The following is a 17,109-nucleotide window of genomic DNA, read 5'->3' as shown; positions in this document are numbered from 1 at the left end:
GTGGGCCGGATGGGATGAGACTGGCCCACCCCAGACCGTGCTGTTCTTGGGGGTGGGTTGACGTACAGGGTGAACTGGCAGCCCCAGCATTGTAAAGGGTGCGCAGGTATGGAAATGTCACATAGGATGCCCTCCTTCCCATCAGGCTGCCTTCAGCTTACTCAGGCGTGAAGACAACTTCCCATCAGAACCTCTTTTCTTCCCTTTCTCCACCACACACATGAGACGCATGAGAGGGAGAAACAGCTCAATAGATACTGCTGACCTTCATTTGTGGAATCCTCAGTCATCTACAGACAGACAGGTGACTAGACAGGGACCCAAATCAAACACAATTTCTGGGTTCTCATGGTGGGATTGGTCTCTCTCTCTCCTACACACACACACACACACACACACACACACACAATTTCCACACCTAGTTCACAAACCACACTCACTCTTTTCACAGTATGCAGGCTGAGTAAAACCCACCCCACCCTCCACGCGTCGGCTGATGAAACCATTTCTCTACAATTTATTAAAAAGATTATCTGGGCCTGGCACTGTAGCTCATGCCTGTCATTCCAGCGCTTTGGGAGGCCGAGGCGGGTGGATCACTTGAGGCCAGGAGTTCAAGACCAGGCTGGCCAACATGGCGAAACCCCATCTCTCTGAAAAATAGAACAATTAGCCAGGCCTGGTGGCATGGGCTTGTAATCACAACTGCTCAGGAGACTGGGGTGGGTGAGTTGCTCCAACCAGGGAGGCCGAGGTTGCAATGAGCTGAGATCATGCCACGGCAATCCAGCCTGGATGACAGAGCGAGACCCTGTCCCAACAGAATCTTAATATCATTATAAGATGAGTTGCGCGTGGTGATGGCCATCTGTAGTCACAGCTACTCGGGAGGTTGAGATAAGGAGAAGATCACTTGTGGCCCCACAGGTCGAGGCTTCAGTCAGCTGTGATCCACTGTATCCTGGGCCGTCACCAGTCAAGGAGATATGCCCTCGCCCCATTTTCTTTTTTTGTCTTCCCTTCTCTTTTCTTCTTTTTTCTTCTCTTTTCTTTCTTTCTTTCTTTCTTTCTTTCTTTCTTTCTTTCTTTCTTCCTTCCTTTTGTTTCTTTCTTCTTTCTTTCTCTCTTCTTTCTTTTTCTCTCTTTATTTCTTTCTTTCTTTCTTTTTTTCTCTCTTTCTTTCTTTCTTTCTTTCTCTCTTTCTTTCTTTCTTTCTTTCTTTCTTTCTTTCTTTCTTTCCTTCTTTCTTCTTTCCTGCCTTACTGCCATCCTGCCTTTCTTCTTTCCTCCCTTCCTCCTTTCCTTCTTTCATCCTGCCTTGGCCTGCCAAAGTGCTGGGATGACTGGCATGAGGCACCGTGCTTGCTTGGCCTAAAGGGACACCCTTTGAAAGTAAGACACAGAAAGTGCCTTCCAGTGATCTGATTGACTGATTTAGACACAGCATCTAACTCTGTCACCCTGGCAGTGGTGCCATCGTAACTCATTCACTGCAGCGTGGATGCTCCTGGACTCCAGTGATCCTTCCACCTCAGCCTCCAGAGTACAGTACCTGGAACAACAGGCATGCGCCGGTGTGCCCAGACCATTTTTAATTTTTTTTTTTTTCCTGAGACAGAGTTTCTCTCTCGTTGCCTAGACTGCAGTGCAGTGGCGCGATCTTGGCTCACCGCAACCTCAGCCTCCCGGTTCAAGCGATTCTCCTGCATCAGCCTCCCGAGTAGCTGGGATTGCAGGCATGCGCCACCACGTCTGGCTGATTTTGTATTTTTAGTGGAGACGGGGCTTCTCCATGTTGGTCAGGCTGGTCTCTAGCTCCCGACCTCAGATGATTCGCCTTCCCCGGCCTCCCGAAGTGCTGGGATGGCAGGCGTGAGCCACCGCGCCCGGCCTTCATTTTTAAATGTTTTTCCACAGACAGGGTCTCATCATTTTTTGCAACCCTCCTGACCCGGCGTCTCAAAGTGCTGGCGTGACGGGCGTGAGCCACTACGCCTGGACTCCGGAGAATGATTCATGACCACGACCGCTGTACTGATTCTTTCTTTCTTATTTATTGATGAATTATTTTCTTATTTATATTTGTTTATTTATTTTCAGACCGAGTCTCGCTCTGGGCGAGGCGAGGCGAGGCGCATCGCTTTGGAAGCCGAGGCACCGCCTTGTAAAGCCCCATTCATATGCACAAAGCCCTATTCCCTTCCTGGAGTTGGAGCTGATGCATTCCATAGCCTTGGGCTTCTCTCCATTCAGAAGCTTTGACAGGCGCAACCCCACCCAAAGGCTGGCTGCAGCTGAGGATTAACGGGTGTGATGGGGCTGGAAAGTGGGTCCCCTATTTTCGATAGCTCAGCCAAAACATTCCCCGACCCCCATCGCTTGCTCACCCTTTGAGATCCCCCGCCTCCACCGCCTTGGAGGCTCACCTGTTACTTTAATTTCTGTCTTTCTCCCTTTCTTGCGTTTGAGGAGGGGGTGCAGGAATGAGGGTGTGTGTGGGAAGGGGGTGCGGGGTGGGGACGGAGGGGAGAGTCCTAAGGGCCGATTTAGTGTCATGCCTCTTTCACCGCCACCACCGAAGATGAAAGCAATGATCAGCTAAATACCGTGTGTTCTCATCTATAAGTGGGAACTTATAGATGAGAGTTCTTGCATGGGCAGAACTAGGGGGACAAGAGACGCGGGAGCCTACTTGAGGGAGGAGTGGAAGGAGAGACAGCTTCAGGAAAAAACAAAACAGGAAAACCGTTGGACACAGCGCTGAGTATCCGGGTGATGAAATCATCTGCACACTGAACCCCCCTGTCAGAAGTTTACTTATGTAACAGTCTTGCACATGTATGCTTGAACAAGAAATAAAAGTTAGGGGGGAGCAGGGGGAGGAAGGGAGAGAGAGAGAGAGAAGTAAAATGAAACACCACCTCCTTGACCTGAGTCAGGGGGTTTCTGGCCTTTTTGGGGGAAAGTTCAGCGACAATGCAGTATTTGGGTCTGTTTTTTTTTTTTTTTTTTTTTATTCTTTTCTTTTTTTTGGACTGAGTCTCTCTCGCTCTGTCACCCAGGCTGCGGTGCAGTGGCGCTCTCTCGGCTCACTGAAACCACTGCTTCCTGGGTTCCAGTGATTCTTCTTCAGTAGCTGGGATTACCGGCGCGCACCACCACAGCCGGCTAATATTTCTATTTTTAGTAGAGACGGGGTTTCTCCATGTTGGCCACGCTGGTATCAAACCCTTGACCTCAAGTGACCCACCCTCCTGGGCCTCCCAAAGTGCTGGGACGACAGGCCTGAACCACCGTGCCTTTAAAAGCACGGGCCCTGCCACCTTTCGTTGTGGCCCTTACGTTCAGAATGACGTGTCCTCCCTGCCATAGGTTGACTCCTTGAGTCCCCTATGCCATTGCACTCTAGCCTGGGCAGCAAGAGCGAAACTCCGTCCCCCCACCTTCCCGCACAAAAATAAATAAATAAATAAATAAATAAATAAAATCTCTACGTGTGTTCCAAAGAGTGATTTCTAAGAAATGGCACTGTACACTGAACGCAGTGGCTCACGTCTGTCATCCCGAGGTCAGGAGTTGGAGACCAGCCTCGCCAACATTGTGAAACCCCGTCTCTACTGAAAATACGAAACTGAGTCAGGCACGGTGGGGCAGGCACCTGTAATCCCAGCTACACGGGAGGCTGTGGCAGAAGAATCGCTTGAACCTGGCAGGTGGAGGTTGCAGTGACCCAAGGTTGCGCCACTGCACTACAGCCTGGGCGACAGAGTGAGACTCAGTCTCCAAATAAATAAATAAATAAATAAATGAAAGAAAGAAAAAAAGAAAAGAAAAGAAAGAGAAAATAAAAGAAAAAGCACTGTATCGCTACTGGGCTAGGACCTTCTCTCTTTCTATCTGTTTCTCTCTGTCTCTCTGTGTTCGTCTCTGTCTTTCTCTCTCTGTCTCTTTCTCTGTCTCTTTCTTTCCCTCTGTCTCTGTCTCTCTGTCTCTCTCTCTCTCTGCCTGTCTCACTGTGTCTGTCTTCTGTCTTACTTTCTCTGCCCGTCTGTCTGTCTCTCTCTCTCCCTCCCTGTCTGTTTCTCTCTGTCTCTCTGTCTGTGTTTTTCTCTGTCTATCTCTTTCTCTGTCTGTCTGCCTCTCTCTTTCTTTTTCTGTGTCTCTCTGTCTGTCTCTATCTCTCTCTGTCTCTCGCTCTCTCTGCCTATCTTCTGTCTTACTGTCTTTCTCTGCCTATCTGTCTCTCTCTGTCTCTCCCTCCCTTTGTTTCTCTCTCTCTCACTCTCTCTCTGTCTGTTTCTCTGTCTCTCTCTCTCTGTTTCTCAGTGTCTCTCTCTGTCCATCTCTGTCTTTCTCTGTCTGTCTCTTTCTCTCTGTTTCTGTCTCTCTGTCTCTCTGCCTGTCTCTCTCACTGTGTCTGTCTTCTGTCTTACTCTCCTTCTCTGCCTGTCCGTCTGTCTGTCTGTTTCTCTCTCTCCCTCCCTTTCTGTTTCTCTCTGTTTCTCTTTCTGTTTCCTGTTTCTCTCTCTCTCTGTCTGTCTCTCTCTGTCTGTCTCTTTCTCTGTCTGTCTCTCTCTCACTCTGCCTGTCTCACTGTGTCTGACTTCTCTCTCTCTCTTTCTCTCTCTCTGCCTGTCTCACTGTGTCTGTCTTCTGACTTACTCTCTTTCTCTGCCCATCTGTCTGTCTCTCTCTGTCTGTTTCTCTCTGTCTCTCTCTGTCCATCTCTGTTTTTCTCTGTCTGTGTCTTTCTCTGTCTGTCTGCCTCTTTCTTTTTCTGTGTCTCTCTGTCTGTCTGTCTCTCTCTCTCTGTCTCTTCCTCCCTTTGTTTGTCTCTCTTTCTCTCACTCCCTCTCTCTATTTCTGTCTCTCTTTCTGTCTGTTTCTCACTGTCTCTCTCTGTCCATCTCTTTCTCTCTGTCTCTCTCTCTGCCTGTCTCTCTCACTGTGTCTGTCTTCTGTCTTACTCTCCTTCTCTGCCTGTCCGTCTGTCTGTCTCTCTCTCTCCCTGCCTTTCTGTTTCTCTCTCTCTCTGTCTCTCTCTCTTTCTGTTTCTGTCTCTCTCTGCCCATCTCTGTCTTTCTCTGTCTGTCTCTCTCTTTCTTTCTCTCTGTCTCTGTCTCTCTCTCTCTCTCTGCCTCTGTCTCTCTCTCTCTCTCTGCCTGTCTCTCTCACTGTGTCTGTCTTCTGTCTTACTCTCCTTCTCTGCTTGTCCATCTGTCTGTCTGTCTCTCTCCCTCCCTTTCTGTTTCTCTCTCTCTCTCTTTCTGTCTGTTTCTTTCTCTCTCTGTCTGTCTCTGTCTTTGTCTGTCTCTTTCTCTGTCTGTCTGTCTCTGTCTCTCTCTCTGCCTATCTCACTGTGTCTGTCTTCTGTCTTATTCTCCTTCTCTGCCTGTCTCTCTCCCTTTCTGTCTGTTTGTCTCTCTCTCTCCCTCCCTTTCTGTTTCTCTCTCTGTTTCTGTCTGTTTCTCTCTTTCTCTCTCTGTCTCTGTCTTTGTCTCTTTCTCTGTCTGTCTGTCTCTTTCTTTCTCTCTGTCTCTGTCTCTCTCTCTGCCTGTCTCACTGTGTCTGTCTTCTGTCTTATTCTCCTTCTCTGCCTGTCTGTCTCTCTCTCTCTCTTCCTGTCTGTTTCTCTCTCTCTCTTTCTGTTTCTTTCTCTCTGTGTCTGTCTCTGTCTGTCTGTCTCTCTTTCTTTTTCTCTGTCTCTCTGTCTCTCTCTCTCTGTGCCTGTCTCCCTGTCTGTGCCTGTCTTCTGTCTTACTTTCTTTCTCTGCCTGTCTGCCTGTCTCTGTTTCTCTGTCTGTCTCCCTCCCTCCCTGTCTGTTTCTCTCTGTCTCTGTCTCTCTCTTTCTGTTTCTGTCTCTCTCTGTCCATATATGTCTTTCTCTCTTTGTCACTTTCTCTGCCTGTCACTCCCTTTCTTTCTCTCTGTCTCTCTCTCTCTCTGTCTCTGTCACTGTGTCTGTCTTCTGTCTTACTCTCTTTCTCTGCCTATCTGTCAGTCTCTCTCTCTCTCTGTCTGTCCCCCTGCCTTTCTGTTTCTCTCTCTGTCTCTCTTTCTCTTTGTCTCTGTCTGTCTCTTTCTTTCTTTGTCTTTCTCTCTGTCTCTGTCTCTCTCTCTCTCTGCCTGTCTCTCTCACTGAGTCTCTCTTCTGTCTTACTCTCTTTCTTTGCCTGTCTGTCTATCTGTCTCTCTCTCTCCCTCCCTGCCTTTCTGTTTCTCTCTCTCTCTGTCTCTCTCAATTTCTGTCTGTTTCTCTCTGTCTCTATTTCTGTTTGTTTCTTTCTGTCTCTCTCTGTCTGTCTCTGTCTTTCTCTGTCTGTCTGTCTCTTTCTTTTTTTGTGGCACGATCTCGGCTCATTGCAACCTCCACCTCCCAGATTCACGCCATTCTCCTGCCTCAGCCTCCCGAGTAGCTGGAACTACTCGGCACCCGCCACCACGCCTGGCTATATTTTTTTGTATTTTTAGTATAGACGGGGTTTCACCATGTTAGCCAGGATGGTCTTGATCTCCTGACCTCGTGATTCGCCTGCCTCGGCCTCCCAAAGTGCTGGGATGACAGGCATGAGCCATCGTGCCTGGCCTGTCTCTCTCTTTCTTTTTCTCTGTCTGTCTGTCTGTCTCTCTCTCTGTGCCTGTCTCTCTGTCTGTGCCTATCTTCTGTTTTACTCTCTTTCTCTGCTTGTCTGTCTGTCTCCCTCTCTCTGTCTGTCTCCCTCCCTCCCTGTCTGTCTGCTTCTCTCTGTCTCTGTCTCTCTCTCTTACTGTTTCTGTCTGTTTCTCTCTGTCCATCTCCGTCTTTCTCTCTCTGTCTCTTTCTCTGTCTGTCTCTCTCTCTGTCTCTCTCTGCCTGTCTCTCTCACTGTGTCTGTCTTCTGTCTTACTCTCTTTCTCTGCCTATCTGTCTGTCAGTCTCTCTGTCTCTGTCTGTCTCTCTCCCTCCCTTTCTGTTTCTCTCTCTCTCTCTTTCTGTCTGTTTCTGTCTCTCTCTGTCTGTCTCTGTCTTTCTCTCTCTTTCCTTGTCTTTGTCTCTGTCTCTCTCTCTCTCTCTGCCTGTCTCTCTCACTGTGTCTTCTGTCTTACTCTCTTTCTCTGCCTGTCTGTCTGTCTGTCTCTCTCCCTCCATGTCTCTCTCTCTCTCTCACTCACTCTCCGTCTCTCTCTCTTTCTGTCTGTTTCTTTCTATCTCTCTCTGTCCATCTCTGTCTTTCTATGTCTGTCTCTTTCTGTGTCAGTCTGTCAGGCACCTCGTGACGGGGAGGCCCTGCCCCTTCCATGAAAGTGAGAAGTGCGTGCTTAGGTGCTTAGAGAGGCCGAGAAGAATCTAGACAGATGGGCCCTACTGGGCTTCCCCACTCGGTGTATGATTTCGGGAGGTCGAGTCCGGGTCCCCACTTGGATGCAAGGGGCATTTTCAGACTTTTCTCTCTGTCACGTGTGGCGTCCGTACTTCTCATATTTCCCTGATAAGTTCCTCGACTTAAAAATAAACGGTTAAGGCCGGGCACGGTGGCTCACATCTGTCATCCCAGCACTTTGGGACGCCGAGGCGGGTGGATCACCTGAGGTTGGGAGTTCGAGACCGGCCTTGCCCCGTCTCTACTAAAAATACAAAACTGAGTCAGGAGCGGTGAGGCAGGTGCCTGTAATGCCAGCTACTTGGGAGGCTGAGGCTGGAGAATCGCTTGAACCTGGGAGGCGGAGGCTGCAGTGAGCTGAGATTGCACCACTGCACTACAGCCCAGGCTGTAGAGTGAGTGAGACTCTATCTCTAAATAAATAAATAAATAAATACATTCTTTTCCGTGCTGACTGACATTTGCAGGCATCGGTTGTCTTCGGGCATCACCTAGCGGCCACTGTTATTGAAAGTTGAGGTCACACGGAGGGAGGTCTCCCTGACTTCACCGAACCTGGGGCAACGGGTTTCTCTCTCTCCCTTCTGGAGGTCCCTCCCTCTCTCCCTAGTTGCCTAGGGAACCTCTGCCCTGGCGGGGGCCCTATTGTTCTTTGATCAGCGCTTTAGTTTTCTTTGTGTGTTGGTTTCTTTCATGCGCATAGACTCTTCTACTTGAGATTTAGGAGGGGTCAGTTTAATTTTCAAGTCGCCCCTCGGCTCCCCCCACTACCCACGTCCCTTTAGCTTCATTTAGTGAGTCAGTTAGGTGGGTTCCCCCCAAACCCCACCCCCCGCCTCCCGACACCCTGCTTGGAAACCTTCCGGAGCCACCCAGGTGAGCCTCCGTCTTCTCTCCCCTTCCCCCACCTCTTCCGCCGATCTCATTCTTGCCAGGCTGACATTTGCATCGGTGGGCCTCAGGCCTCACTCAGTGGCCACCGTTTTTGAAGATGGGGGTGGCACGGTCCCACTTCCCCAGAGGCAGCTTGGGCCGATGGCATAGCCCTTGACCCGCGTGGGCAAGCGGGCGGGTCTGCAGTTGTGGTTTTTTTCCCCCGCTTCCCTCCTCAGGCCTCCCTCCCTAGGAAAGCTTCACCCTGGCTGGGTCTCAATCACCTTTTATCATGATGTTTTAGTTTCTCCGCCCTCCGGCCAACATAGTTTCACAATGGGAAGGGCATCACAGCTCTAATCTGGGCCTTCTTAGCATTTTCCCAAAATAGAAACGCTTTCTGAAAACTAATACTTTGCTCACTTAAGATTTCCAGGGACGGTGCATTGGCCCGTGTTTGTTGGCTTGTTTTGTTTTGTTCATGTTTTTCCTTTTTCGTATGTATTTCTTTTCAGGTGAAGTAGAAATCCCCAGTTTTCAGGAAGACGTATATTTTCCCCAAGACATGTTAGCTGCTGTTTTCTCCTGTTAATTAGTGCTTTTGTGAATCTCTCAACGTGTAGTGAGAGCCGGCTGATGTTTACTAGACTTCAGAACATCTTATGTTCTAGAAATCCGTAATCGAATGCTGCTGCTGCTCTTGTTGCTGTTGTTGTTGTTGTTTTCAAAGCACACCCCGGCCACTGTTTACCGGATCAAAAGCATTATAAAATATGTGTAATTATTTCCTGAGCATGCCCTTCCTCCTCCTCTCTCTGTCTCTCTTTCTGTCTCTGTCTCTCTCTTTCTCTGTTTTCTCTCTCACTCTGTCTCTCTCTCTCTGCCTGTCTTATTTCTCTCTCTCTCTGCTTGTCTCTCTCTCTGTGTGTCTTCTGTCTTACTCCCTTTCTCTGCCTATATCTCTCTCTCTCTGCCTGTCTGTCTCTCTCTCTCTCTCTCCCTGTCTGTCTCTTTCTCTCTGTCTCTGTCTCTCTCTCTTTCTGTTTCTCTCTGTCCATCTCTGTCTTTCTCTCTCTTTCTTTCTCTATGTCTCTCTGTCTCTGTGTCTCTCTCTCTCTGCCTGTCTCTGTCTTCTGTCTTTCTTTCTCTGCCTGCCTGTCTCTCTCCCTTTCTCTCTCTCTGTCTCTCTTTGTTTCTGTCTGTCTCTGTCTTTCTCTGTCTGTCTCGTTGTCTGTCTGTCTGTCTGTATCTCTCTTTCTTTCTCTGTCTCGCTGTCTCTCTCTCTCTCTCTCTGTGTCTCTCACTGTGTCTGTCTTCTGTCTTATACTCTTTCTCTGCCTGTCTCTCTCTCCCTGTCTGTTTTTTTCTCTCTCTTTGCCTGTCTGTTTCTCTGTCTCTGTCTCTCTGTCTCTCTCTCTCTGCCTGTCTCTCTCTCTCTCTTTGTCTGTCTTCTGTCTTACCGTCTTTCTCTGCCTGTCTGTCTGTCTCTCTCTCTCTGTCTCTGTCTTTCTCTCTCTCTTTCCGTCTGGTTCTCTCTCTCCCTCTGTCTGTCTCTTTCTCTCTCTGTCTCTTTCCCTCTGTCTGTCTCTCTCTTTCTTTCTCTCTGTCTCTCCATCTGTCTCTGTCTCTCTCTCTGTGTGTGTGTCTGCCATCTGTCTTACTCTCTTTCTCTGCCTGTCTGTCTGCCTGTATGTCTGTCTCTCTCTTTCTTTCTCTGCCTGTCTGTCTCTCCCTCCTTGTCTGTTTCTCTCTCTCTCTGTCTCTGTCTGTCTCTCTCTCTGTCTGATTCTCTCTCTCCCTCTGTCTCTTTCCCTCTGTCTGTCTCTCTCTTTCTTTCTGTCTCTCCATCTGTCTCTGTCTCTCTCTGTGTGTCTGCCATCTGTCTTACTCTCTTTCTCTGCCTGTCTCTCTGCCTGTCTGTCTCTCTCTCCTTCTGTCTCTGTCTCTCTTTCTGTTTCTCTCTGTCTCTGTCCATCTCTCTCTTTCTCTGTGTCTTTATCTGTCTGTCTGTCTCTCTTTCTGTCTTTCTCTCTTTGTGTATCTTTGTGTCTCTGTCTGTCTCTCTGTCTGTCTCTCTCTTTCTCTCTCTCTCGCTCGCTCTCTGGCTCTCGCTATCTCCCACCCTCTCTTTCTTTGCAAAATAAGTTCAAGTACATCTAATCTAATCCATTACCATGGCCTGAATTCTTAACTTTAGACATCCCAGATTTGATCTCCCTACCGAATGCTGTACGGAACTGGTGAGTTGATTTCTGGACTTGGATACCTCATAGATACTACATATTAATAAAGATCCAACCCTAAAATCTGGGGTTGCATCTCCCTTGACCGTCTCAAAAAATCATACCTCTGTTCACCTAGGATGCTGGGTTTTCTCAATGTGCATCTGCTCGTGTCCTTCATGACCTGTGACCGAGCCCTGTCTGTTCTGTCTCAAATATGTATCTGCAAACACTTCTCTCCATTTCCACAACTACCCATGGCCCATTGTGGAACCACTGGCTCTTTGAAAAAAAATCCCAGAAGTGGCTTTGGCTTTTTGGCTAGGAGGTCTAAACCTGCTGAGAACTTTCCTGCCCAGGATTCTGTGTGAAAAAAAGTGCCTCTGCTGGGAGCTGGGATCCTCCAGACCATGCTTGCTAGCGCTGGATGAGTCTCTGGAAGGACGCACGTGAGTCCACAAAGCTGACCTGTCCCACCGAGATCAAATGGATACCTCTGCATTGGCCAGAGGCCTCCAACTTACATCACTGTTACCATCACCGTCAGCATCCTTGTGAGCCTGCCCAAGACCCCAACTCCGGGGAGACTCTTGGGAGCCCAGCCTTCCTCGGCTAAAGTCCAAAGGGATGGTGACTTCCACCCACAAGGTCCCCAGTGAACTGTGAAGATGTGGAGCGTAGGTCAGAGAGGGGACCAGGAGGGGAGACGTCTTGACAGGCGATGAGTTCCCTAGGCTCTGGCCACCCCACTCACATCCCATGTCCCGGGCATCCGCAGGACACCGCCGCTTTATCCCCTCCTCTGTCCACAGCCGCCCCCACCCCACCCCGCAACCCACGCACACACGCTGGAGGTTACAAAACCACAGGGCGTGAATACAGCCTGACGGAGCGAGAGCTTATTTCACGAGGCCGGGGGGTGCGGTGGGGTGGGGTGGGGGTTGGGGGTCTGTAGAGAGCCCGATTCTCCCTCGTGGGTGGCTACAGGATACAAATGAATATCGCTTCTTGGGTGGAGGGGCTTCCTTAGGCCGTCACGTTTGCGGGACTATCTTTCAAACCCTTCCTTGAGGCCACAAAATAGATTCCACCCCACCCCTCGACGTTTCCCGTTTCCCCGGGTGCTGGATGTATCCTGTCAAGAGACCTGAGCCTGACACGTTGAGTTAAACACCTTAACACCTTTATTGGCTTTGTGTGTTTGTTTGTTTCCGAGATGGAGTCTTGCCCTGTCCCCCGCCCCGGCTGGAGTGCAGTGGCGTGATCTCAGCTCACTGCAACCTCTACCTCCTGGGTTGTAGCGATTCTCCTGCCTCAGCGCCACCAAGCTTGGCTCATTTTTTTATTTTTAGTAGACACGGGGTTTGACCCTGTTTCATTGGTTTTCACTGGAGATTCTACATTCGATCACACCTCACTGTGTGCCACATAATGACTTCTTTTTTTTCTTTTTTTAAAGCACAATATATCTGCTTTATTTGAGTGGCTTTGTATATCGTTATAATTGTGTTATAGATGAAGAAAAGGTGTTAAACACGGTGCTAATAATAGTGAAAGTGAAAATAAAGAAAGGCTATCTATTTTGTAGTTAGAATAAAGTTGCTCAGTATTTAGAGTTACTGAAATACATCAGCATTTAAACTCCTCCTAGTAAAAGCTTGCCAATCTGAATAATCCTCCTTTAAACACAATTTTTGATATGGTTAAGGTTTTTAAGAATGTGACTCCTGCAGAATAGCTGAACAGACAATACACATTTAAAAAAGAACAACACAAGGGTCAATCAGACTTGGGAAAAAATCAAAAACAACACAAGTCTTATGAAGAACTGAGTTCTTAAAATATTACGGAGAACATAGCTATCGGAAGAGAAGGCAGTATTGGTAAGTTGATTGTTACATGTGTCAGCAAAAGCTAGCACTATTTTTTTGGCAATCTTTCAGGCACTGCAACTACTACTGCAAAATGAGATATAATCCATTAAACAACATATTCACAAATCAAAAAATGTTTTCGTAATGTAATGCTTCAGATTTAGAAGCAAATCAAGTGTTAAAACTCAACTGCTATAATAATTAACCCCAAAGATAACCATATCTGACAAAAAAGCTTCCACAGAGTTATGACTTCAGAATTATACTTTCTGTTGATATTTATTTATTTATTTATTTATTTTATTTTATTTTTTTTCTTGAGACGGCGTCTCGCTCTGTCACCCAGGCTGGAGTGCAATGGCGTAATCTTGGCTCACTGAAACCTCCATTTCCCAGGTTCAAGCAATTCTCCTGCCTCAGCCTCCTGAGTAGCTGGGACTACAGGCGCCCGCCACCATGCCCAGCTAATTTTTATACTTTTAATAGAGACCGGGTTTCACCATGTTGGCCAGGATGGTCTCAATCTCTTGACCTTGTGACCCGCCTGCCTCGGCCTCCCAAAGTGCTGGGGTGACAGGCGTGAGCCACTGTGCCTGGCCTTCTCTTGATATTTAGACTTTTAAGTCAGTTCAGAAAAATACAATAAATGTCAACAGTAAGTATGGTGTTGAGGCAGAAGTAGAACCAAACTTTTTCATATGTTATTCAGTTGATAACAATATGACCTGGGTAGTAATTTCCTATGTGTCTACTTATACACAAGTACAAAAGAGTAAAAGAGAGATACTGCTAAATAAAAGGGTACACTAAATTCTTAATAGTAACTCAATAAACTGGAACACTGTCAAAAAGCAGCAACTAGTGAATTTTTTCAGTGTTTTTTTCTATTATCCAATAAATGAATTATGCTATTCCTTTCCAATTTCCCAAGCACTTTTTGTCCCAATCACCATTTGTGTGTTTCAAGAAAAAGTAACAAATCAAGTAACAAAACTAAACAAGCAAACAAACAAACAAAACACAACTACAGTATCTGCAAAAGTTTGGTAGAAGACTGAAACTGTTGAGTATAAGGATCTGGTATTCTACTATCATTAGTTAACTTAAGAGTTTGTTAAAGACACACATTTCATAAGAAAACATGTTAGTTTGAGGTTATTGACCAGTATGTACCATCCCTAAGTATTAGTAACCAAATTCATGACAATAAAGAGCTATCTAACAAGAAAAATTAGTGACTATCAGCACCATCAACAAGACTTTGTCTTTACACTTCATTGCCACTTACCATGCATTATAATGTCTAGGATTGACTCTGATAGCATTTCAAAAACTAGCTAATGCTTTGTCCAATTCTTCAGTTAAGACAAACTCTCGCCTTAATAGAGTTATAGGCATAAGCATAATTTGGATCCACTTGGATAGCTCTCTGGAAGAATTTAATTGCAATATCGTGTTCCTGTTGCAGACTGAAACAGTTCCCTGCAACACACCAGGCCTCTGGGAAATTTTTATCCACATCTGTTAAGTCTTTTGACAGAACTGAAAGAGCAACATCTTTTTGAAGATGCCAAAGTGTTGTAGAGTAGATTTCTATGCCTTCGACTCTATAATTCTCAATCCTTCTAACCTCTGAGAATATTCTTTCAGCTTGCATGTACTCTGAAAGTTCAAAATAGGCCCTTCCAATTTGGCACAGTACCCAACCAGTATTGTAGTGGTGAGAAGGTAGATGGCTCAAAACATTTATAGCTTCTTTGCAGTGGTATGAACACAAAGCTAAATAACCTTTCCCCCATTCAAGAAAAAGGCTCATCAAGCCTTCTGCTGCTGCTTTTTGTAGACTAAAAGCCTGAATCTGAGGTGTGATTGTGGATATTTTCCCTTCTGAAATGATGAAAGAGTCCAATTTTGTAATTTCCAGGCTATCATTTATGTTAGGTTGAGTTATTCCTCCTTTATTAGTTTTACTTTTTGTTTTTCTGTTTGGGATTTTAGGTGGAAACTTCATTTTTAATTTCTTCCTATTCTTGGTTGTGGAACTGTCACTAGTCAAGAGTCGTGAACTTCTTCGATGCAGCGCATTTGGGGGAGATGTCATAGTGGGGCTCAATACCTGAGGTGTTGTACTTATTTATGGACCAGAACTTTCTGTTTGTGCAAGAATTGGAGTTACCTCTTGGCTATCTCCACCCTGTGAGAAGACAGACTTTGCTCCAGTTTGGCTGATTCTGGCAACAGACTTTTTTGAAGGGGCTCCGGTGGATGGCACATCAATTTCAGAAGGTGTATTAGTGTAGTTTTGTAAATAGGATCCATCTCCAGGACTTGGGGTTTCTAATGGCAAAATCCCAAAACTTGGGGTGAATGGACTAAAAGCTGCTGGTCCTCCTAATAAACTTCGACCAGTTTTTGGTTTATTTTGAACCTGTTTAGAAAATATGGAAGTTCCTGTTCCCAGTGGGACAGTATCAGGTGAAATTACAGCTGAATCAATAGAAGACACTGGGGAATCTGTATTCAAGGAGTACTTTGAATTGGAAGATTCTAAATTCAATCTGTTTAATTCAGTTGTGTCCTGTGGTGTTTCCGTAAGAACGGTCTCAGGCTGTCTGTGACATAAACTATGATTAGGTACTTGTGCTTTGCAAGAGTTGGGCAGACAGTTTCTAAAGTTCTGTGAAGATGCGAATTTAAATGTTTGGTCAGGATCTGGCTTTTCACCTATTTCACATAATGATTCGAAGGGATACCAGAGGAAAGGATTTAAACTAAGGCTCTTTTGGTAACATTCTGATCCTTTGGCAAGCCAATCTGTCTTGCAATATACATGTTCCAACAATGGAAGGGGAAAGCAAGCTGAATCATCAAACTCAGTAACAATATCATCATGGCTTTTCTGCTTATTAAACACTCCACCAGATAAGATTTGTTCCCCTTCTGCAAGCTTGCTAAGATCAACACAACATTTTGCAAGCAGGTATTTGCATTGTGGTGTAGGACAACTGTGTCCTTTCAAGAGTCTATATTCTTTATAGGCCTTTCCTGGGCGGTAAGAACAGGTCGCCAGTAAAAACAAGGCTTCTTCTGAGTGTACTTCTGCATAAAGGTGTTCTGCGAGGAAAACCCCATCTCTGTAAGCATAGTGGTTTAGTGCTTGCCATATAGCAGCCTGGACAGTTTCCTGCAGCACCGTCATCCTCGAGGCTCAGACCCACTTTCTGCAGTGCCTCAGGCACCCCCCACCCCGCCCACCCCCCTCCCCCCCATAGCGTCTCCGGCCTTGCCAGTCTCAGCTCATTTAAACTCACCAGTTTTGTAGGTTGCCTGTTCACTCTGATGGTAGTTTCTTTTGTTGTGCAGAAGCTCTTTAGTTTAATTAGATCCCATTTGTCAATTTTGGCTTTTGTTGCCATTGCTTTTGGTGTTTTAGACATGAAGTCCTTGCCCATGCCTATGTCCTGAATGGTAATGCCTAGGTTTTCTTCTAGGGTTTTTATGGTTTTAGGTCTAACATTTAGGTCTTTAATCCCTCTTGAATTGATTTTTGTATAAGGTGCAAGGAAGGGATCCAGTTTCAGCTTTCTACATATGGCTAGCCAGTTTTCCCAGCATCATTTATTAAATAGGGAATCCTTTCCCTATTGCTTGTTTTTCTCAGGTTTGTCAAAGATCAGATAGTTGTAGATATGCGGCATTATTTCTGAGGGCTCTGCTCTGTTCCGTTGATCTACATCTCTGTTTTGGTACCAGTACCATGCTGTTTTGGTTACTGTAGCCTTGTAGTATAGTTTGAAGTCAGATAGTGTGATGCCTCCAGCTTTGTTCTTTTGGCTTAGGATTGACTTGGCGATGCGGGCTCTTTTGTGGTTCCATATGAACTTTAAAGTAGCTTTTTCCAATTCTGTGAAGAAAGTCATTGGTAGCTTGATGGGGATGGCAAAGGAATCTAGAACTAGAAATAGGATTTGACCCAGCCATCCCACTACTGGGTATATACCCAAAGGACTATAAATCATGCTGCTATAAAGACTTATGCACACGTATGTTTATTGCAGCACTATTCACAATAGCAAAGACTTGGAACCAACCCAAATGTCCAACAATTATAGACTCGATTAAGAAACTGTGGCACATATACACCATGGAATACTATGCAGCTATAAAAATGATGAGTTCATGTCCTTTGTAGGGACATGGATGAAATTGGAAATCATCATTCTCAGTAAACTATCGCAAGAATAAAAAACCAAACATCGCATATTCTCACTCATAGGTGTGAATTGAGCAATGAGAACACATGGACACAGGAAGGGGAACATCACACTCTGGGGACTGTTGTGGGGTGGGGGAAGGGGGGAGGGATAGCATTGGGAGATATACCTAATGCTAGGTGACGAGTTAGTTAGTAGGTGCAGCACACCAGCATTGCACATGTATACATATGTAACTAACCTGCACATTGTGCACATGTACCCTAAAACTTAAAGTATAATAATAATAAAAATAAAAATAAAAAATAAACTCACCAGTTACCAGGGGTTGGGGGAGGCTGAGCCAGGATGACTTCTTTAGCCTGCTGACTCTGGAAAGCCCAGCCCCTTGTGATCCATTGCAAAGTGAGAGTCACCTCATGTTTGGAAAATGGATTTGCTCCCAAGTTCAGTGGAGGGATGTGGCATGTAGGATGAAGGACTCTCTTCCTTCGGATTCGGTCTGCACAGTGGGGCCTAAGGCTGGAGCTCTCTCTGTGTGGACCGCTGACTCCCTCTACCTTG

At 46.3% G+C, this 17,109-nt stretch overlaps 1 pseudogene; it reads right to left on the bottom strand.

The window, feature by feature from the left end:
* Positions 1-13,615: 13,615 nt before the first annotated feature.
* CDC27P4 (cell division cycle 27 pseudogene 4) lies at positions 13,616-15,530 on the bottom strand (annotated as a pseudogene).
* Positions 15,531-17,109: the final 1,579 nt, after the last annotated feature.

This window comes from Homo sapiens, chromosome 20 (assembly GCF_000001405.40).
Source record: "Homo sapiens chromosome 20, GRCh38.p14 Primary Assembly".
Taxonomy (NCBI): Eukaryota; Metazoa; Chordata; class Mammalia; order Primates; family Hominidae; genus Homo; species Homo sapiens.
The sequence above is the reverse complement of the archived record's forward strand: the minus strand, read 5'-3'. Positions and strand labels throughout refer to the sequence as shown.